The sequence below is a fragment of the Homo sapiens genome, chromosome 15 (genome assembly GCF_000001405.40).
Source record: "Homo sapiens chromosome 15, GRCh38.p14 Primary Assembly".
In the NCBI taxonomy this organism is placed as follows: domain Eukaryota; kingdom Metazoa; phylum Chordata; class Mammalia; order Primates; family Hominidae; genus Homo; species Homo sapiens.
This window is the reverse complement of record NC_000015.10, coordinates 88,162,132-88,184,622: the sequence shown is the minus strand read 5'-3', so window position 1 is coordinate 88,184,622 and position 22,491 is coordinate 88,162,132. Positions and strand designations below refer to the sequence as shown.

General features: G+C 46.1%; 1 protein-coding gene across 32 annotated transcripts in view; it reads left to right on the top strand.

Annotated features, from left to right (window-relative positions):
- NTRK3 (neurotrophic receptor tyrosine kinase 3) overlaps positions 1-22,491 on the top strand; it is a 396,989-nt gene that overhangs the window by 72,117 nt on the left and 302,381 nt on the right. For all 32 annotated transcript variants that reach the window (XR_001751292.3, XR_002957645.2, XR_001751293.3 and 29 more), the window contains 2 exon segments: positions 324-398; positions 1,134-1,205. Coding sequence is in view for 29 of the 32 variants with exons in the window: in NM_001243101.2 (NP_001230030.1) it covers positions 324-398; positions 1,134-1,205 (147 nt within the window). In the remaining 3 variants the exon portion in view is untranslated.

Here is a 22,491-nt window from a genome sequence, read left to right as displayed (position 1 = left end):
TGAGTTAGGAAGACAAGCAGGGAGATTGAACTTCACGTCTTTAGCATCTTTTTCTAGCTGATGGGGAGACATTCAATGCAATCCATGGGCCAGGAACTTGGATCCAATGAATCCAGTTAATTCTTGCAACAACCCAATCAGGCAGACGGTGTGAACCCCACCACGCAGAGGAAGAAACTGAGGCTCAGATTTATTTGGTGACTTGGCAAAAGGCCTGGCAATCAATTAGCTCATCGGGGATCAAAGCCAGGTCTCTGTGGCTCCAAAGCCAGCCCCATTTCTGTTGCTTCTGGCTGACCGTTACCTTTCCTCCTCCCCTGCAGACACATAGAGAACTGGCGCAGTCTTCACACGCTCAACGCCGTGGACATGGAGCTCTACACCGGACTTCAAAAGCTGTGAGTACACCCGGCCACAGAGAGGCCTTTCCCTGTGGAAGGGGTGGATGCCACCTGGTCTGCCTTCTGGGGTGGCGTGAGGGGCACAGCAAGACTGCCATCCGTGCTTTCTCCCCCAGGTCTTCTTTTGGTAGAGTTGGCAATATGCACTTAGGGGACACCAGAGGCTTCAAAGGCCATCTCTTCACACCCCTTTGTCTCACCCTAGTCTAGAGAGGCAAGGGGGTTGTGTGAATTCCCATCTTGAAGGTAGGGTTTCAAGGCAGGCCTAGAACCCAGGCATGCTGGGTGAGTGTCCTTTCCCTACCCTTATGCTTGACTGATGAGCCCCATGGAGTATGAGATTTCCCAGCTACCTCCACCCTTGGATGTCGGTACTAGTGACTGTGGGGACCTGGAGTGGGGAGAGGGACAAGGAACAAAGAGGGCTGCAGCCCTGCCATTACTGGACCAGCAGAAGCCCTGGTCCTTACCTACTGGCCAGGATGGGTGGAGGGCAGCTGCCAGTATGACCCCTGACCTCCCAGCCTCACGGGGCCCTGGGGCGTGTGAGCCCAGGTGCCTCCACTGAGCAACCCCAGCAGGCCACCTGTGATAACTGGCAATGAAGAGGTGTAGATAATCCACAGGGCGGCTGCAGGGCCAGCCTTAGCCTCACCCCCTGCCAGCCTCAGCCCAGAGCAGATATCCCTCTGCCACTTGAGCTCTGCTGATCCTCTTTTTCTCTCTGTCTAGGACCATCAAGAACTCAGGACTTCGGAGCATTCAGCCCAGAGCCTTTGCCAAGAACCCCCATTTGCGTTATATGTGAGTAGAGCTGGGCTGCAGGGATTGGGGGCACATGGCAGGTACTCTTGGGGCAGTGAAACCGGAGACCTGAGGTCTAGACCTGGCTTTTTGCCTCCAGGGGCTCTTGGGCAAGGTTTTGAACTTTATTGGGCTTCCAATTTTGCCTCTTAAAAGGATTATTTTGGGTTTGATGATCTCTAAGTTTCCTGTCAGAAGGAAAAATCTAGGACCAGGGGCTGAGAGGGAGAGTCAGTCTCCTGACACCCAAGTGTGTTCACTTTCATGATGAAACTTGCAATTTTATGGGAACGTAAATGATAGGGAATTCCACTCATATGTAATGTGAATACTATACTTCTGAGACCATAAGTAGGCCCATAAGAGTGTGTATGTGTGTTAGGACTGGCGGGGGGCGGGGGGGGGTTGCAAGAAGAAAGAAAGTATGGCTAATAGCCAGTGTTATGTCTAAATAGATCTGGGTTCAGTGGGGAAAAGCTCAGAGAAGTGGAAACACCTGTGTAATGTCACACAGCTTTGTTTGGGACAAGCTAGAGGTCAGGTGGTTATGGGTGGGGGTTCCTGTCTGTGCCTCCTTCATCCTGTCTCTCCCCTTTCCCTAGTGGGGATAGAATCACAAGAGTTGATGCTTCCTCTCTAAGCCGAGTTCTGGGCTGATAAACTTTGGGATTTAATGAGGACTGCCATTTCCTGGGGAGAAAGTGGGCATGAAAGGAAGCCTGGGGTGAGTGATTAGGGGAAGTGCCAACCTGCTGCACCTGTAGAGGGGTATTTGTTGTCTGGGTCAACTCCAAGGATAGTGGCCATCTCGGACACCCTTTGGGCATGTTCCCAAAGAGCAGAGGCTCTGCAGGAACCAGGTGGGGAGGGGTCTATTGCCTTTGGGGAGAAAGTGGAGAAGTGGTGTGCTATGGGCTAGTCTTTCCTGTGGCCACTTAAAAGTTTCACTGACTGAGCACTTTGCATTTGGTAACGGAGGGCAGCTGGGCTGGAGAGAAATTGCATGCACCGGGGCAGAACATCCAGGGGAGCTGTGGGAAGTGGAGGGTAGGGAAGGTGGGGAAAGGGAAGAGATCACAGTGAATCCTGGTGGAGGAGTTGTTTTTTCTTTTTTGGGGGATCCTGACCTTACCCCCAGGCTCTTTGTGTTTTCCCAAGCACATAGTGAGTGCTTGATAAATATTTGTTTATCAGTATGGCCACCTCTGCTTTCTGCGGAGCTTTCTTTTCTCTCTCTGGAAAGAACAGGCTCTGTGGTCACTGTTCAGGGCCAGGTGTATCAGCCCCAGGGGACTGAGACCTCCCTTTCAGCTGCCTAATTAACTGTTGCCCCTTGCCCCAGGGTAGCCTCTGTGGTGAGAGTCTCCTGATGTGTGTTCTTTGCAGCTGGAGGCATAGCTGGGACCAGAGGAGGGTCTTGGACCAGATGTTCCAGGTGTTTATTTTATTGGGGGTTTGAGTTTCACTGTAAAACATCCTAAGGGAAAAAGCTTTTGACATCTGAGAAGTCTCCGTTTTCATAGTAATTCATACAAGGGTCACAAAGCCAAATGCCCATGGTGGACCAGGTGGGGTCACGTGTCCCCTCCAAAGAGGCAACCAGTCATCAGTTCCAGCTGAGTGATGCCACGTGGAGGTGGGGCCTGGTGTGGTCAGACTTGTTTCCAGAAGACTTGGAGATTCCGTGAAACAACTCAAGTTTTAAATGCTGCCGACTAAAAACAAGACCTTTCAACTCCATGGGCCAAATGAAACTACTTCTATGAGCAGAATGTGGCACACAGAGTGCCAGCTTGTGGTGCGAGGTCGTATTTGGGGGAGGGATGCTGTTGATGCGAGACAAACCCTGTTCTCTTTGAGGACAGGGGCTGGGTGCTCAGGCCTCAGAACCTTCTAGGGCACGGTGTCCCTGCAGCTCTTAGGGAGATGGAGAGGCTTCAGGACCCAGGCTCAGGAGTGGGAGCAGGGTTACATCTTGGGCTGCAGGTGGCTCTGAAGTGGGTTGTACCAGAGCATGTCTTTGGCTTGCCCTTGAGGATCCTGGAAGAGGGCTGTGACCCACTGTCTCTTTTGGAATGATATGGGGTCTGCTGAGTGGTGGCAGCGATAGAGGCTGGTGGAGGTTTGCAAGATTCCCAAGGCTTTGTGGGTAGGAGGACCTAGTTGGAGGAGGACCCAAGGATACCATTGAACCTGCCCATGACTTTGGGCCCTGTTTTCTCCTGGACACATTGGCCAGCTCTTGCCAAAGTACTTGTTATTGGCTACAGGGTGATTACCGAGAAGGATGGATGACCATTAGTTTACCCCCAATTTGAGTCTGTCTGTGCATTAGGGGCAAGTCAGGGTGCTCAACCTAGTTCAAGAAAGTCAGCACCCAGTCAAGTGGCTCTCATAGGCACAGTGGGATGCCCAGAGGAGCCTGGGGGTCGCAGAGAGACGAGTCAATAGGATGAGGCAGAAGCACTGGCTTTATCCACGGGTTTTATTTATTAACTTTTCTTATTTATGAAGACACACACCAAATTCCCAATTGAGTAAATTTCCCGGCAGCTTTGGGACATTTTCTCCTGGCAAATGGGCCAGGTTTCTTTGCTGTCTCACAACATCTTCTATTTCTGTCCTCTAAATGCATTTACAAGTCTTCTGGCCCCAGCTGAGCAATCACAAGATGATCACTTACTCCAACACTAATTGCCGAGCCCTGGCTTGGTGGCTTTTTTTTTTTTTTTTTTTAGGGTAATGGCTGAGAAGTCTTTTCTTCTTTCCTCTGTATAAAATAAGAAGTAGGAAGTGATATCATTGCCCCTAGTACTGATGTCAGATTGGTCAAGTTGTTCTGATTGGTTGAACTGTCTCCCACCCCTAAGCTACTGTTGCGTTAATCAGTGTAATTCTTCCTCATGCCAGAAAATGAATTGACAAAGTTTTGGCCAAGTTGTCTGCTGTACAGTAGGCTGGAGATTAGGACTCTTGGGCCTTACGTCATGGTTTATGAGTGACTGACCATCTCCTCTTGACTGCTTTAGTTTTCTCTACCTTTTGTAGATTGCGGAAAATGAGATATGGATGAATACATATCAAGGGAAACCCTTTTTTGAGAGATGGGAATATTTTCCACCCTTGTATCCCTTCTCTGATCCTAAGAATTCTGGATTAAGGATTTTTAAGGATAAGGATTTCTGAGATTGATAATTGCAATAGCTGTATGCCAATCTGAAAAGTGGGCATAATAATAGTGGCTATTCTAGGGATGGGATGTGGTCAAGATTAAACGATAAGAGGCACATACAGCTCTCAGCCCAGTGACCAGGAAATAGTGAGCGTTCAGAGAGAACAGTTGCTAGTAATGATAGTAATTATTGTTATTATTCCTGGTGGTGATGATAGAATCAAAGAGAAGGGGTTAGGTGACCTTGATGGGTATTCTGACCACTTCTTTGTCCTGAAAAAGCTGAATTTCTGTCTCACAGTGGAGCCCACCTCTCTGGTGACTGGAATACTCATATTCTCCAGCGTCTTTCTTCATTGTACACTGATGAATAAATTCGGATAAGTTCTCTATTCTCCTCTTTTATCCCCTTGCTCTAGACTGTATGTAGGCCTCTCTGTAGATGCTGTCAGTTTCAGAAAGGAGTTAAGGAACTGAAACTGATGAGCTGACAACTTTCTTTATTTCCACCTGAGTTGAGATCTCCTCCACCAGCATTATTGAACTTGGGTTGTTCTCAGAGTCCTCTGAGCCCAGCTTCTGCAGCTGGCCCCTCTTTCCCTTTATGGGGTGTGTTTTCTCTGGCATGGCTCACACAGACTGGATCGCCACAGTCTGGGATCCCCATACATGAAGAATGTAGACGTCTGTCTGAGCTGCACTCAAACAATGGTACTTCCTTTCACCTGTAGAGCTCTTCGTGGTTTTCAAAGTGCTTTTCCATACATTATCTCATTGAATTCTCATAACCATCCTTGGGGCAGGGGTATGGTAGGTGGCTTTGTTTTACAGCACGGAAGATAGGCCCAGAGAGGCTCTGACTTTTAAGTAGCAGAAGTAGAACTGTACCTAAATCCTCTGATTCTCTTTCCAGGAATCTTTCCACTATAGCTCATGGGCCAGAAGAGGCAATGTTTTTTCACAGAAGCAATTTAAAAAGTTACTATGTTTTGCTAGTCATTACTATGTTTAGAAAACCACATAAAACTGCTGGTATCAGAAAAGAAGAGGGAAAGGCTAATCTGGTTGAGAACTTCCTGTGTGCCAAGAACTGTGCCTGGTGCATTTGCAAATATGAACTCACTTACTCCCCACAGTAACTCTAAGTTAGGAGTCCTCTCTTCCCATTTCATAGATGCAAACATTGAAGCTCAGAAGTTATAACTGAGTTCTCCTAAGGTTATACAGTAAGTTAGTGGAAGAATCAGGATGTGGACTCTAAATCCTTTGAATCTGAAGTCCGTGTACTTTTTTACGTCCCAGGAGCGTTTTTTCTCTCTGGTTTTCACAGCAAGAACTTCTTATAGGAGAGGTGGGCATCTTTAAAGTTCCGTGAAAGAGCTGCTCTTTCCCCCTGGGGATTCAGCACGCTCCATCCTCAAAGAGCTCTGTTGAGAAAGCTCTGTTTAGTTCCTCTTTCTATTCAGGTCAAATCCTATAATGACAGTTACATTACAACCTGAATATCTTTATTATGAAAGATTTCTTAGCATTAGCCTATGGCCTACTTATTTCCAAGAATATTTAATGTAAGATTCCAGCAAGCCAAGAGAATTTATTTAATCCCTAGAGTTGATTGTGGTGGGATCTCTCTTGGGCTCCATTTCTTGCTCTTTTCCAAAAAGCTCTGGATGCCGGACTAAGTTATTTCTCCTTTTGGAAGCAAACGTGCACTCAATCTTTAGCTGGGAGAGTCAGCCATCAGAGTGGGGTAAAAGATGGAGAATGTCCTGATTTGAGCATGATTGTATCAACTGTGTTATGTTTGCAAAGAGAGGAAGTCAGTGATGCTGTGCGGATAGGAAAAGAAGAGGTGGCTAGGATCCCTACCCTTTCAGGACACTGACTGCATAGGTAATAAATTTCTCTTGAGATTATTGAGGTGAAAAAATGGTGACATGGATTTATTATGTATTATAAATTACTCAATGTTCTTTCTCCTTGGAATAACCCCAGATTCTGAGTTTCAAGATGACATGTAGACAGTATCTCAGTAAATTTTTGCTTTTCTGCCTTCCCCCTTACCTCTGCACTGAGACTTTTCTCCAAGTCCCAAAAGGATTGGCAACTGGCACACTGGTCTCCCTCACTGCTTCTCCACAAGTATCCTCCTTCTTCTGTTCTTTGTGGAGGACTTAGCCATGAAATGCTGGATAGCTGACAGTAAGGAGCATGGGCTTTGAAGATAGAAAGATCAGGGTTCAAATCCTAGATCTTTCACTTCCTGCTGTTGACCTTAGGCAAATTATTGAACTTCTCTGAGCTTTGAAAGGAAAATAAGAGTTCCTACTTCATAGGATTGGTCTTAGCCTTAAATAAGACAACGTCTGGAAAGTGCTTAAGACAATGTACTATGAAAGACTCAATATATATGTTTTTGCTATTAAAGATTTCCTCCCAACACATGTTGGTCTCCAATTGTTTAGAATCATAGATAGTTAAAGCTGGAAGAGTCCTTAGAACCAACTCCCAAATTTGTATTCCTATCGTGCCCTTTAGTTTCCTATATCAAACTGCCTACTTGCATGCCCCAGTCATGAGTCAACCTTAAGCTGGCCAAGACAGGATTCTTGATTTCATACCAAGCCCTTCCTCCTAACCTCTTCTTCCTCAATGCTTCTTGTTCTTGTAAGTGGTACCATCCATCAAATTGCTCAGGCCAAAACCTTGGGAGACATTCTTGATGCCTCTCTTTCCTTTACCTGCCTACTCCCTTCTTCTGACATTCAGTTTAATAAATTCATAAAATATTTTGTATCCATCTGCTTGTTTACCCTTTCCATCCTCATATCTATTGTCTTGGTCCAAGTCATCATCCCCTCCTCTGACACTGTGACAGTAGCCTTCTAACTTAGGTTTTCCACACCTTCACTTTTGTCTGCTACATTTCATTGTCCACACAGCTGCCAGAGTGATATTTTAAACATATAAATCCGATCATGCCACTTAGCTGCTTAAAGCCCTCCAATTACTTCTTGCGTTACTTACAATAAAAGCTAAGCCCCTTTCCATGGCCACAGGACTCACATGGATATAGTTTCTGTCTCCCTCTCTAATTGTCTTGTACTTTTCCCCTTGTTCTCTCTGCCGCAGCCTTACAAGCCTTTTCAGTCCCTTAAATGTGCCAAGCTCATTCCCACATTGGAGTTTTTGTCCCTGTTGGCCCATCTGACCCAAACAGATACCCTGCCCTGGATCTTGGCATGGCTGGCCCCTTCTCATCATTCACCCAAATGCTACTTTCTTAGCAAGGCCTCCCTTGACTACTCAAACTTTGTGGCCTTCCTTCTCCTTACAAATAGATCACATTTTATTCCGTCATGTGGCTGAATAATTTCCTTCGCCTTTATTACTATTGATCATCTGCAAGTATCTCATTCAGCTATTTAAGAGTTGATACTCTATCTCCCGCACTGGAATGTAAACTTCCGTGGAGCAGAAATTTTCCCTGCTATATCTCCAGCACTCAGAACAATGCCTGTTATATGCCAAGTGATTGGTAGTGATTTGTTGCATGTACAAGTGACTCTAGTCTGACTTGATCATTTTCTGGATGACAAGAAGGATATCTTGAGTGGAAGAATTCTGACCAAGATCTCCATGGGTAAGAGCTGAGCCAGGACTAGAATGTGGGCCTTGGTACGCTCTGTGTGACATTCCTCCCATCATATTTATCCTGTCTACTTTCTTTGGGTCTTACCTAGCCAGGGATCCTCACACTTCTATGTATGGTAGAAACTATTGCAGCCCTGTTTAAAAGAAGGGACATATGGGCCGGGCACAGTGGCTCACGCCTATACTTCTAGCACTTTGGGAGGCCGAGACAGGTGGATGATGAGGTCAAGAGATCGAGACCATTCTGACCAACATGGTGAAACCCCGTCTCTACTAAAAATACAAAAATTAGCTGGGCATGGTGGCGCTTGCCTGTAGTCCCAACTACTCAGGAGGTTGAGGCAGGAGAATCACTTGAACCTGGGAGGCGGAGGTTGCAGTGAGCTGAAATCATGCCACTGGGCTCCAGCCTGGTGACAGAGTGAGACTCTGTCTCAAAAAAAAAAAAAAAAAAAGAAGGGGCATATAGGCAAATATTACATGCATATCACTTATATTATTGGAACGTACAAATATAAATAGTACAGAATCATATCGCAGTATCACCCTGCTGAGGTGTGATACAAAAATGTACAGTGAAGGTAGGTCGCCTCTTTGAGATTTCTTCTCATTCAGTTCTTCTTGCTCAGAGCTTCCATCAAACATCCTGCTTAAGCTATTGCCTCTAACCCACCCTCATCACTAATTTGGTTATTTCGATAAGTAGTTGAGAATATGTGCTCTTGAACCACATGGCCTGACATTCGATTCTGGCTTTATCACATATATCTGTATATCTTGGGCAAGTTACTTAACATATCTATGCCTTAATCTCCTCATTTGGAAAATGGGAATAATATGGTTGTTAGCAAGATTAAATGAATTAATGTATATGAAGAATTGAGGAGAATGTCTGGCCCATAACAATGACCCAATATATGTTAGTGGAGATTGCTGTTATTATTCTTTAGAAAATTGGAACGTACAAATATAAATAGTACATATAGCAGATGATCAATATCAATATCATCTAAAATTGATATTCTAAAATGGATCAATTTGATTCTAAAATTGATCATTATCATGATGAAAATATTCTAAAATTGATCGTCAGTATTCTAAAATTGATTCACAACTCTGTGAATATATGAAAAACTTTTGAATTGTACATTTTAAGTGAATTGTGTATATCTATTGCTCTATCTCTTTATGTCTCTCTCTCTCTCTCTCTATCTCTCTGTGTCTATCCTGTGTTCCTTCTTAGAAGATGCTTTCAGAGCCTGTGTGGGGCCTACTATGTCTCTTTTCCTCTGCCGTGGGGCAAAGGATGTTACTGTTCCAGATGGAGGCTGCTCCATTAGCTGGCGTCTTGTTGGGAAGATGATGGGAGCAAAGCCACAGCTGACCTCTGTTGACATGTAGTGGGAGAGAGAAATACACTTTTACTGTGGCTAAGAAAAAGAAAGAAAAGATAAACCAGGAATGACAGAGGCTGTAATCAGTGTATGCAGTAGATAGGCTACTGGGGGTGCATGAAACTTGGTGTCTAATCTATTACCCAATTCTTTTCTGTCCTACTCAAGACAGGGTCTCAGAACACAAATGAGAGAGATGTTATTACAGGGAAAGTTTTGAACCTCCTCTAATTTAAGTATAAGGAAGTAAATGGTGAGTGGTGGTTCTTCATCAGTGGCTATGGGTTGTTGGTGACACAGCTCACACCTTTGACAGATTGCAGAAACGGCTGACATTCTCCAGGGACTTCCAGCACAAGGCAGTGGAGGTGCCGCTGGAGGGCTCTGAGCAGGGCTGCTGACCCGAGATGGGCGGGAATGGCTGGGCAGCCTTATGGAGCAGGTGACAGCTGGCCTGGCTTTGGAGGAGAGTGGGCTTGGGTTGGCAGACAGCCTGCTTATGGCACAGGGCTGCAGCTTACCATGGGGTGTGCACAGCTGTTTCCCCCTGGACTTTCTGCTAGAGCTGTTTGGACATGTGCTGATGGGTACAGGCCACTGAGCCTGTTTATCAGGTATACTGAAAAAATTGCCAAGGGAACAGCATTTGGAAATGGAGCCATTTGTCCACGGAATAGGATTTTCACAGAGTGAATGATGTGGGAGGCTTGAGTCAGGACTATATGCAGTGGTGTGTCTGGGTGGAGGCCAGGAGGGAAGATGCTGGGCTTTGGGTCCATATGAGTATATGGGAGGGGCTGGTGGGGATGGCTGTCAATCATTAGAGGTATTTTTTGGCTGCAGCAGGGATAGGTGGCCACATCTTGCACATCCCTTTGGCTCTTTCTTGGCCTTATGCTGTGACGTTGGATAAGCTATTTAACCCATTTGGTCTGTTTTCACATCTCAAACATGAGACAGTGTTATAAGTGGCCCAATCCTGACCTCATAGCATTTTGGGAAATTCTTCCTGGAAGAAAGGTTGCATCTGAGACACAGCTGGGGCCACTGAGGGGCAGGACCAGAGGAAATCTGTTGTCTATTTGTTTTAGTTTTACCCACTTTATTCTACTCCCCCATCTCACCTCCCTGGAGGGGCAGGCATTCCAATGCAGTGAGTTCCAGGGACATAATATCAGTGAAGCACTGACTATAGACCAAGCATTCCTCTATGCACTTTATATGTCATTTCATGCTCATAATAGCAAGTGGACATCATTGTTGTCCCCATTTTACAGATGGGGAATTTGAGGCACAGAGAGGTTGAGTGACTTGCCTAAGGTTTCATAACTGCTAAGTGGCAGAGCCAGAAACCAACTCCAGGTTGCTTGCCTCTAGAGCTCCAGAGCCTCCACTCTACCATCTCTTGGCCAAGGCCAACTCTGGTCAGCCTTGGCTGTTTTCAATTCAGGAACCCAGCTGGAGAAGAGAGGGAGGCAGTAGGCTTCAGAGCAGCACTCCTCAAAATGAAGGGCAGATGGAGGGGAAGGCCCATGGGAGACCACGAAGGGAGTGCCTGAAACCATGTCCTGCTTTGCACCTGGTTGCTAGCAGGGTCTGGGTGAATGGGCAATGCCCCTTAGCCTACTGGCTGGCACTGGGGAGGGCCATTAACAGATGATTACACAGAGTGGGTATTTAGCATAGAGAATGGAGCCTGATGATCGAGCAGGTGGAGATGAATCATGCTGTGATATGTCGATGCAGGAGTGGCAGATTTCTATTTTCCCCATTTCCAGGGAGCATGGGGCTACACCAGCCCTGGATGTCTTTGGCCCATTTCGGGCAGGATTATGACTGTAGGTGGCACACCCTGTTATAGAATGGGAAAGAAGGGGATATGGGCCAGAGTAGATAAGCTCCAAGGCTCTGTCTGCTCTAACATCCCAAAATTTTGTGCCTATGTGCGCAACTTCAACATCTGACACCTCCTAGTACAATCCAGCCATGCTATTTCTGTAGGTGTGCCTGGGTCCCCGCATTCTTTCCATATCCCAGCCCCTATGGCACATGATAACACTGAGTGGCGCCTTTATTGTCCTCTTTTAAATGGATCCTTCCTGCTTTTATTGAACTCCAAATGTGTTATTGAACCCCAAATGTGTTTTGCACCGCAGAATTCACCAAGCTTCAGATTTTCAATGGATATTTCTTAGTTTCTACTCTCATATCTGCTGCCTCCAAAGAAAGTAAATTCCCAGTCCCCTCATACCATTAGTCTCCTGGGTGCCTGCCTCTTCTGAGGCCCTGTAAAGGTACTGCTCCTGGTACCCTTGTGAGGCAGGTGGCAAACTTCCCAAATTGAATTTCCTTTTTCTTGTCTGCTTGTGTCTGTCCTCCAGACGCCCTGTGGTCCTGAGATTACTCATGCCCCCCAACCCCCGATCATTTCTTTCTGTTCACTTTGTTTGTGGACCACATTCTGATTCACCCAGGGCCAGATAACATGGCCACGTGCCTCACCTGCTGGCCCACTGCATGTTTGTGATATGTACTTTGAAATTCTTAGTCGAAAACCCTAACCTCTTCTTGGAGACTGTTCTTTCTGATTTCAGGTATCTCAGTTCTCTAGAATCCCCTGGACTGAACCTTAAGAATTTTCTTATAACCCTGTCAGCTGTTGCCTTTCAAAAACTCAGTGTAATGCTGAGTAAACATTCTGGCCTCTGGGCTGTGCATCTCCTAGTCTTGGGGATTAGACACTGTGCTCATGTTTTCCATCCTTGATTATTCTCAGTAGATTTTCTTCTCTTTTTTCCCCCTCTTCCCTAAGGCTTCATTACCTCCCATTTGTTCACATCTCTTTTCTCCATTTTTCTTGTTAAAGACAGATTTAGAAAATGAGTTTAGTCTCTTGGCTATTTTGGAGTCATCATTAATTTCTGTTCCTCTTCATTCCTTAGCAGGCTAACAGGTTTGTGTCTCTTTCTCCCTTGTTTCCTCTTAATGGGTCTTTGAAAGTCTCTTTTCTTGCTGGGTTAACCCCTTTGCCTGTTGGGGCTTGCCTTGGGTCCAAGAGGCCTCTGCCCTTTCTGGGTGGTATTCTAGGTGATGCAGCCACTGCGATTGTTCTGGGTTTAAAGGGTACTGGGTCTCCCAGATGGAGTAAGTCATGCACTGCCTCTGGCCGACTTCATGCAAACTGCAGACAGGGTCTCCCAAGATGCACCTTGAAACCCATCTGAGGGGTCCAGGCGAGGCCTGAAATATGCCTGTGGAAAGGTATGACCCTCTCAATGATGTGTACGCCCCATGGGGGCAAAGACTAGTCTCCCTAAATCCTGTTTTCTCAATGTAAAATTTGTATTTGGAGAACAAATGGCTGACTGAACGAATGACTGAGGGAGGGGGAGAAAGAAGAAGGGAAAACACCACACACTTTGAAGGTGGGCAGACTAGGCTGTGAACCCAAGTTTGACTTTGCCAACTCTTTCACTTTGCATTCTTGGCCAAGGAGCTGAGCTTCTGTGTCCTTCCTAGGACACAAGGAAATAATTCCTACCCTGCAGGGCTTTGGGTGAGGATTAAAGGAGTGAACATAAAGCACCTTTCTCAGTGGCTGCACATGGTAGGTACTCAGTAAATGGCATGTCCCACACCTTGGAAGCTATTTTAGAACCTTGATCCTTATTAAGGGTGCTCAGAAGCCCAAGCTCGAAGCCCCTGGGTTTGAGGCGTCTTTGGGATTCTGCCCCCTGTATGTGGGGAGAGCAGAAGCTAAAGGGGAAAGGGAGTTACAGAGCCGGGGTGGGGATCTGGCTGGAGCCCCCCAGCAGAGACCCTCCATGTCTTCTATGGCAGCCTCAACACACATGCACCCTTGCCAGCTCATCAGTGTATTGCCATTACCAAGAGGGAGCTTTGTCAGTGTATTACTGTTATTCTCAACGAGGAAATTGAGATAGAAAAAAGGGGTGTGGTGACCTGGAGCCAGTCCTGTGGGGAGATTTAAGAGCTGGATTTAGAGCATGGCTTGCTGGTTCTTAAGCCTCCATTGCAGCCCACTTCAGCCCTGAGTCCCTCTCCCTTCCTCCGACAGCTGTTTCTCTTTGGATCTGGTCAACTGTCCACCTCAGGTTTTACAACTGCATTTCTTTAATGTGGTTGCCTTTGGCTTTTTCCGTGATTGTGAAGTCTCCACCCAGGATAACTCCCATCCCATTTGCATCTGGAGGGCTGGTTTATACACACAGAGGGGTTGAATTCTCTAGAGGGCCTGGGGTGGAAGGCACCACTGAGGGCTACCTGTCTGTCTCTGTGATAGGGTGACCTGGCTAGATGGGACTGCATCTGTCTTGCTAGAGCTGAGGCTTTGCTGATCATCAGAGTTGCCTGGGGTTGGGCTTAGGGGAGTCGTTCAGTTCATTTTAGAACTGACTTTCCAGAGTGATGAGGGCCAGGGAATCCTCAGGGACCCTACAGTGGGCCTGTTGGGACCCTGATCCATAGCCTACGTCCTGAGGGTGTGGCGGTCTGGTTCTTCTGCTGCCCTGGTCGTGGTCAACATGTTGTTATGGAACATAGAAAGAGTGCAGACCTGTTCTCTTTAGATGGTGCACAGGTGACTTCCTTCTTTCTCTGTTCCTCATCTATAAAATGGGTACAAAACTGTTGCCTGTACATCCCCCTACAGGGTTATTGTGAGGACAGAGTGAACAATGTTGAGAAAGGACTTTGACAAACATAGAACCTGAGTACCCAACAGGGTGCTGTGGGATGTAGTGAGGGAACCTCACCAAAGCACTGGACTGCAGGAAAACTTGATGAAAGGACTTTATCCTCTTGGGTTTTACTAAAAATAGAGACCAGGAAAAAAATGCAACCTGGTCTCAGTTTGAAGATCAAGTTATGAAGATCTTGTGAAAAATGTTGCTGATGCAAATTATGTCAACCTCATTGCCTGAAACAAGCATTCCCCCTGCCCTTGAAGCTGGCATGTAATCATTGATTTTTTGTGCTTTAGAGTCCTACAAAGTCCACTCACAATGGCCCTTGGGGTCCTGTGGGGCTTTTCTGAGACATTAATACATTAATACCCTCCAGGAACATCTGTTGAGGGCCTTCTCTGCCTCAGGAGAATTCATGCAAATTCTCTTAATTCGTGCAAAGGTGAATTAAGTTTAGGTCTTTGGCTTCAGTGGGATAGTCTAGGGGTGGAAGAGGGAGACAGCGTGTAGAGATGCTTACTATACAGTGTGATGAGGACTTGGGGCTCCCTGGGAGCATTTAGCACAGGTGGGGGATGCATCTTTGGGGATAGGGAGGATTCTAGCAAGGAAGGCTTCCAGGCCACCTGAAACCTAAGGATGGGTGCAAGTCAGCAGCTGAAAGAGGCTTTCTGGGGACATGGGTGATGATTGTGCCAGGTAAAGGGAACCATGTGCTGCATGTCCAGATGCCTGGCAGTGAGAGAGAAAGCCTGGTATATTTGCAGGGCCTAGGCCTGTGGGACCCACTAGACCTGGAACCAGACTGACAAGGTGACTCCCCACCATGCTTCCCTGTGGCCCCAAAGTCAGTGTACTAAAGGGTTGGAATCTTTGATTCCAGGTACCCTGTCTCCCAGTATGGCCCTGTGACCTGAGATCTCTCTCACTGAGGCAGCAGAGTGATTCATATTAGAGCAGAAGAGGGGATCAGGGCTGCAGAAAGACAAGATCCCCTCCCTGTGTGCCTCATTTGCTGCCAACTACAGGTATCTGATGCCTCTGTGGCTCCTTCCAGAGGGGCATCTTGGTGCTTCCTCCACAAGGGCCCTAACCTCTGTTACATACAAGTGTCCTAAGGATCACAGAATCCTAAGAGGTCTCCCTTGAACTACCTGCCATACTCTGAACCATTCTACATGTGTTCCATGCACTCTGCAAGGAGGCTGATTAAACATTGAAATCTCATCCTCTTAAATGTGCCTCTGATGTTCTTAGGATATGAACCAAACTCCCTGCCTTAGTCTGCTGGGTGAGTGTGAGGCCCATGCAGAAACCTAGGTGAGGCAGCGTGGTATGGTGTGGGACCAGCCTCAAGACCAGTTCCAGCATCTCCCTGCATGTCCTCCAGGGCTCTCCGCTCAAGCCACATTGCGCTTCCCTCGATACCCCCATGTGCCATGCCACCTCTAGCTCATGGCCTTTGCCTGTGCCGTTCCCTCGACTTGGAATATTTTCATGCAGCCTCTGACTCGCTTTAGTTAATGTCTATTCCTCTTTCAGGTTTCAGCACAAGTGTCATGTGCACAGATCCATAGGCCAAAGACATCCAGTGAGTTGGCCTGAACTACATGACAATAGAAAGTAGGCTGCTGCCTTTGAGTGACAACAGCCTCTCCTGATGCTTGTCGAAACTGAGTCCATACTGTGCTGGTGCCTCTCAGGAGCAGGTACCTGCTTCATAGAGGAATTAAGGGAGATGACCCCCAAGTCTTCCCCCAGGAGTAAAAGGGCACCTTGGTTCTTTTGTCCTTACTACATCTGGCAAGTCCAGCTGTGTCCCTGAGGTGGGCAGCTCACTCCCTGCAGGAGGCAGTGGGGCTCCCCTCCCTGTGCCAGCTGTCCATTTGCAGCTCAGAAACCTTCGCTGATGCCAGCAAGGGTGGTGTTTGCAAAGAGCAACCGTGTGCTCCTTATTTATTGTGTGGAAAAGAAAACAAATTAAGCTCTTGTAATTATACAGTCAGACATGGCCTTAAATAAAGCTTAAGCAGTCAAACTCCACTTAGAATATTAATAATTGCCTTTCCCAGCCCTGATCCCCAGCAGCTTTCTTTCTTTGTACTCCTCCCTTCCCTTCCCACCCATCTCCACTCTTCTTCTCCCCCGGCTCCCTCATTGGTGCAGACCTCTGCTTGGCCCTCAGAAATCTCTGGAAGACCCCCTAGCAGTGACTAGGAAGACCCCTTAGCAGTGACTAGTCCCTGTTGGACTTTTCACATATCACTAGTGGCATTTATTAAGTGATTTCACAGTCATGGGGTTGTGCTAGAATATTCTTGTCCTGCCCCCACCTCCCTTATTTTGGTTAATCCATGAGAAGTTGCATAATATTATGATTGAAGACACAAGTTTTGTATCAGTCAGAACTGGGCTCTGTTCCTACCTTGTTTGCTGACCAGCTGCGAGATCTTGGTCAAGTCATCTAATCTTTTTGAGCTGACTCTTCCCTCTGGTAAGAAAATCATCTCCCTCATAAGCTTGTTTTAAGACTTGGATGACATAATGCATTTGAAGTTTTGGCACACAGCAAGTTTCTTACAAATATTAGGCCTTTCAGTTACTATAGCTCTAGATCATACCTCATATCAGAATTTTATGGAGTTTCTTACTTTCATTTTTCTGGACTCAAACATTTATTGATGTGCCCAGAGCCTGCAGGTACGTATTAGGTCTCCCAAAGCGTCTGTGAAGTGAAATGGATGCATCTGCTTGGGGCCTGGCAGGAGGACATGGAGTCGGGGTGGTCAGTAATACCATGTGATGTGTTGTTCTGAGGGTCCACTGACATGCCTCCCCTCACGACTAATGACCAGTTCTCTGAGCAATATGCTATCTTAACCATTGTGGCTATAGTGCTTTACATACCACATCTCAAAATACCATCTTATTTAATATGCTATAATAAGATGAAGTAGCTAGCAATTACCATCATCCCTGTTTTACTAGTGAGGAATCTGAGAGAATGCATTGTCCAAGACCACACAGCTAGAAGTAGTAGAGTAGGAGCCGGGACCCAGGTCTCAGACTTTTTCAAGTTCTAGCTCTTTTTTTGCTATACTGGGCTGTTTCCTATGCTGCTGCCAACACCTGGGAGGAGACTCATCTGGTTTCTGGACCTCAGAGTCGTGATGCTGCTTCAAGACTTAGTGTGAATCAGTCAGTCACCACCTTACTGTCTCTTTTAGTTTCCTTTCCTGTGACATGGAAAATGCACAGCAGCACTGGCTTTACTTGTGATATGATATGTGATATGATGGTAGTTGGGTCTTTGCCAGAAACTAACTTGAAAGTAGTTTGGAAACACTGAAAGATGGTTAGGTTCAAAATCTCTATTAGGTGATTATATGGATAATACCATAAAGGGCCTTGTTCAATGCAGGTAACAGGTGCTTTGGAAATGCTGGCCACAGGATTCAGGAAGGACATGGGTCTTAAGTTTGTCCTTGGAGGAATTTTTGCAGTATTATATAGGAAGAGGGGAGAAAATTCATGGAATGTACATGTGTGCACATACAAGCAAGCAGGAAACAAAGTGAAGAGAAAAAGAGACGAAATATTTATTGTGTTAAGCTCTGTGTTAGGTGTTCTTCCAACAGTAATCCATCTTCTTGTTTTATACATGAGGACTCTGGGGCTCAGAGAGGTTATGTAACGTGCTCAAGGTCACACAGCTACTGAAGAGATTTATTCATATCTATAAATGTCTGGTCCAGAGCTCATGTTCTTTCTGTTGTAACTGATATAAAGACCAGGTCACCTCTCTGAGGGTGGTCAGGAGTCCAACGTTCCCAAATGAATATTTAAAAATTGTTTCTTCTTGGGAGGGAAACTGATACTACCATTTTTGCTTACTCAACTCCCAGCCTCCATGGTTCCGTCCCTGGGGGTTCAGCACCATGGCCAGAGCCCAGGGAGCCCTCCCTTTCCTCCTGGGCAGTGAACTATGAACAGCTCCCCAGAGAGAAGCGCCCAGGCCCTAGTCCCCGGCTCACCTTCCCCTAGCATTGCCACAGCTGCTAGTGGGCTGACCTATGTCCTTAAGCGAATGCCACTGCCTTGGCACAAGCAAAGAGTTAGGTGCATGTGGTGGACAGGTGGCCTGCGCTCTGTTTGCCAGCCCTCCTGCTGGGATCTAGACCCAGATGTAAACAGTAGAGGGAGTGCCCCTTCCACTTCTGCCTTCCAGAGGCCCAGTCTAGAGTGGACGAGGATTGTGATTTATGACTTTGATTACCCTGCATTGAGGAATTATCTAGGGCTGTAGGATTCCAAAGGATCCTGAGCAGGAACAGGATTCTTTCTTCCAGACCAGAGCTCCCAGGGTCAGGTCTGTTCTGTTACTGTTGAATGGGGCCTGGAGCAAGTAGATTTGTCATGTGCTTTCTCACAGGAATAGATAAAGTGGGCCAAATGGTGAGAAAAGCACAGCAGAGCTGGCTGAGTTATGATGTGGGTGGGTTTGTCCCCTAGGATGATGTGATTTTTTCATTCTTAGAAGGTTTTCACCTGCATAGTATAGAACCAAGTCCCCAGCTGGAGATCAAGACAACTTCTTGCTCATGCGCATGTGCACATACACACACACACACACACTCAGGTGAACACATGCCAAGTGTCATGACAAGGGTGTGGATTTTGGAATTAGACACGTGGACTCAGGCCCTGTGATAACACTACCAGCTTCGTGACCTTGAACTAGCTATCTCACCTCTGAGCCATGGATTATTGAATTGCTTATCTGTCAATGAGAGCAAATCATTATAATAATACAGACCATAAAATGTTGTTGGGAAGATTCAGTGGACAAATATCTTTAAAGCGTATAGTGATTAGCTCCTAACAAACACAGAGTAAACGTTACTTATTATTTTGATTTCTCAGGAAATGATTTCTGTATCCCAATTTTCTTTAGTTTACTCTCATGATTATTGGTAATGACTATGGAAAAGTCCTTATAGCAAGGAAAAATGATTAGCAAGTTAATTAATTATTTGCACTTATGTTCAGATCTCAAGATTTTAAATTAAGTTGAGGTCAGCCATAGCAGTAGTGCAGGTCTAAGAAATAATGAGTTGAGTTTGGCACCCTGTTCAATGCAAGACTTAGGAAAATTGAGCCATTCAGTGAAATTTACCTGCATGCTTTTATTTAACAATGATTGTGATCAAGGTGTAAATCATTCCTTCCACTTTGCACAAAGAACTACAAGCAGAAACACAGTTCACAAGTCCTAATGTTAGTGATTATTCCTGAGAGTGCCAGCCTTTGGCCAGGCCCATGCATCCACATGCCCTTTTACTCTGTTCTGTTCCCGCTTGTTTCTCTAAGTCTCAATGCAGATTGCATTGTCTCTATGGCCTCCTCAACTCAGTTCATATTCAATCCTCAGCTCCTTGAGAATCTACATGGAACCAAGTGGGATGGGGGTTGACTCTAGGGTCCATATACTCAATATGAGGTAAGAATTCTTATCTTGTCTCTTCCTTGAGTGAGTCTATGTGAACACTACCAGATCTCTTCAGGAGAGAGGCCATGGGGTGTAGGCATGAACACTGCATTTCCCAAACATTTTGCAGAATTGGACAAGAGAGGCCAAAAGACTGCATGGTATAAATTACAGAAAATGGTGGTGTAATGACACTGTTGGTGAATAAATTAAAGCCCTGAATCATAAGGCCAGTAACAGAGAGGGGGCAGAGAAGTGTAATTAAAAGGAGAAAAGAGATGTTTTTAGCTGACACTGGAAGTAAGACAGAGATGGGGGCAGGGTGGGGAGAGAGGGCAGCTCAGAAGAGAGGACATGGGTATTGCTGGCAGTCAAGGAAGGTAAGAAATGAGGCCAGTACTTATGAAACTAAGGAGGAGAGAGGGACAATGGGGGTAATCTTAGTGGGAACAAAACAACATGGGCTTTGGCAGTAAAGATAGCTGTCAGATGTACTCTGCAGACACAGAATAAGATGAATGGAAGAGTTCTGATGAAGACAGATGAGATCCTGGAGAATAAGGAGTAAAATCAGGGGTTAACTGGATCTCCCTGGAGTCACAGCATTCTGAAGATTGTTCTCCAGTGTCACTTGTATCTGCAGCTGGCCTTTCTTGCAAATACTCTTTGACTTATCCTTTGTAGGAATGAGAAGTAAACCAAGACATCTGGGGCAAGAGTGCCTGTCTTGGACCAGGTGGCATGGGTAAGGCTGTGGCCAGCCCGGCTGCAGCCCACCACCGTGTGGGTCCAGCAAGGGGCCAAGACCGTGGGGAAAATTCAAATTCTAAGCCAGAAGTAATCCTTTTTGGACAAGAGTTCTTCCCTGGATTCCTCTGGAAATGGAGTAAATGAACAAATTTCTATGGGGAGCTGCCTTGTTCACCCCATACACCCAGTACACCCACATTTCCCAGCACAGTATAGGTACCTAATTAGTGTTGAATGATTGCATGAGCAGAGATGACTTTTAAGATAGAGAAAACAAAATGATGCTAAAGCTGACTCTGTTTATAGCATTTGCTCCTCTCTTTTGTTCACTGCTGTAAAGTGACACCTAGATGCACGGCATATAGTAGGATCTCAGTAAATAACACATTGTCCAAAGTGGGACACTTTGGAGAATGGAAGGGAAACTGACCTGATGAAATTCCAGGATAATAGATGTGAGCTGGGACTGTTTGGGCAGACCAGAATGTGTGGTCACCTGTCACTAGTAATTAATACAATGAATTAGTCTTGTATCCTTGGAACTATCTCAAAAAGAATGAAGGTCCTGCCTCCTTCTGGCCACATTACCTCCATTTATGCTTGGGCTCATTCAATAAACATCTACTAAGCACCTACTCTGTACTAGGTATCTTGCTAGGCATCAAGAAGACAACTAGAGGGAAAAGCTGTCGTTTTACTCCAGGATTCCCTCCATTCAAGAGGCAGCTAGACTTTTGAGAGATACATGATTTGACATTGCTGAGCTTGATGGATGGATGAAATGCTCTGGGAGCATGTGAGTGGGGAAAACCAGTGGTCTGGAGGTGGTGGTCAGGGAAGGCTTCTCAGAGGAGGGATATATCAGTAAGTCATGGAAGATGATTAAGAATTTGCCAGGCATTCTGGGAGAAGACTGAATGTCAAGGACAACTGCCCAGGGCACAGGGCTCATTATAGATCAGCTCAACAACACCAGGTTGCTGGATGCTGGGAAATATTGTTGTGACTAAGACAAATGAGCCGTTGACCTCATAGATAATATGAATTGCTTGCTACCAGATATTATATAGTCCATTGGGGCTGTGTTGGGGGAATTTCTGTATGAGTTGGGAGCCTGGAGGAGGGGCACCTACCCGACATGGAGTGGTGTCATTTCTAGGTGCTGACATTGGCCCCTAGGGAGAGATAGGAGGTAGGGAGAGAGACATCCAGATACTCAGGTGGACTGGGAAGAGAAGGTTTTGTGTGCCCTTCTTATACCAAGTGTATGGGGTGCCTCTCACTCTTTTGCAGCTAATGTTACCTGGGCAAACAGAGTGGCCACAGTGCTGGACCAAGGCAGCAACTGCTCATGTACAGACCTAGAAGGTCTAGAGGTCTCCCTGATCCTCCTGGAAGTCTGAGAATGAGGAGGGAAAGGCTGGGTGGGAGGTACTGGAAAAAAGAGACAGGAAGCTGGAGAAAGAGGAGGAAGCTGGGGCGTTGCATAGATAAAGCCCATCTGCCTCCCCATCCAAAGCAAAATGTTCCTCATTATTTTCCTTGGATGAGTTTGCTATCCTGATGATATTAATTATTCTTAAAGGTCAACAGCGCTCTTTCGAATCCCCTTCTGTTCTATCATGTAATCAGTTAATTAATTGGAAACCATTTAGCGCGTATGCTGAGTGCGTTGTCTGGTGCGAGTTTTCTTGTTTTGTTGCTCCTGCAGTGATGGTTCCCTCCATGCTCCTGTTTTCTTTCAAGGATTTGGAAACTTGAGAGTGGGCCCCCTTCTCCCCTCTCCTTCTGCTGGCTGATCCCCCGTTCATTCACAGTTGGCTTTGGAGGTGTTCTCTTTAGCTTTTTCCTTTGTGAGTCCTTACTGGCAATATTAATTCATTTCCATTGAGTGCCTACCATGTGGTGGGCACTGTGTGGGGCATCCGTATGTGTTATTTCACTTGATTCTCACCACCTCATGTGGTAGAGATTTTGCTCCCATTTCAGAAGAGAAAGGAGTGAGACTCAGCCTAGAGAAATGAGCTGTTCATGAGTTGTCTAGCTAAAATGTGTGGCTGAGTAAGAACAGAACCTTCTGGAAGCCTTATATCCTGATTTGCTGTGGCGCTGGTGCTTCAGA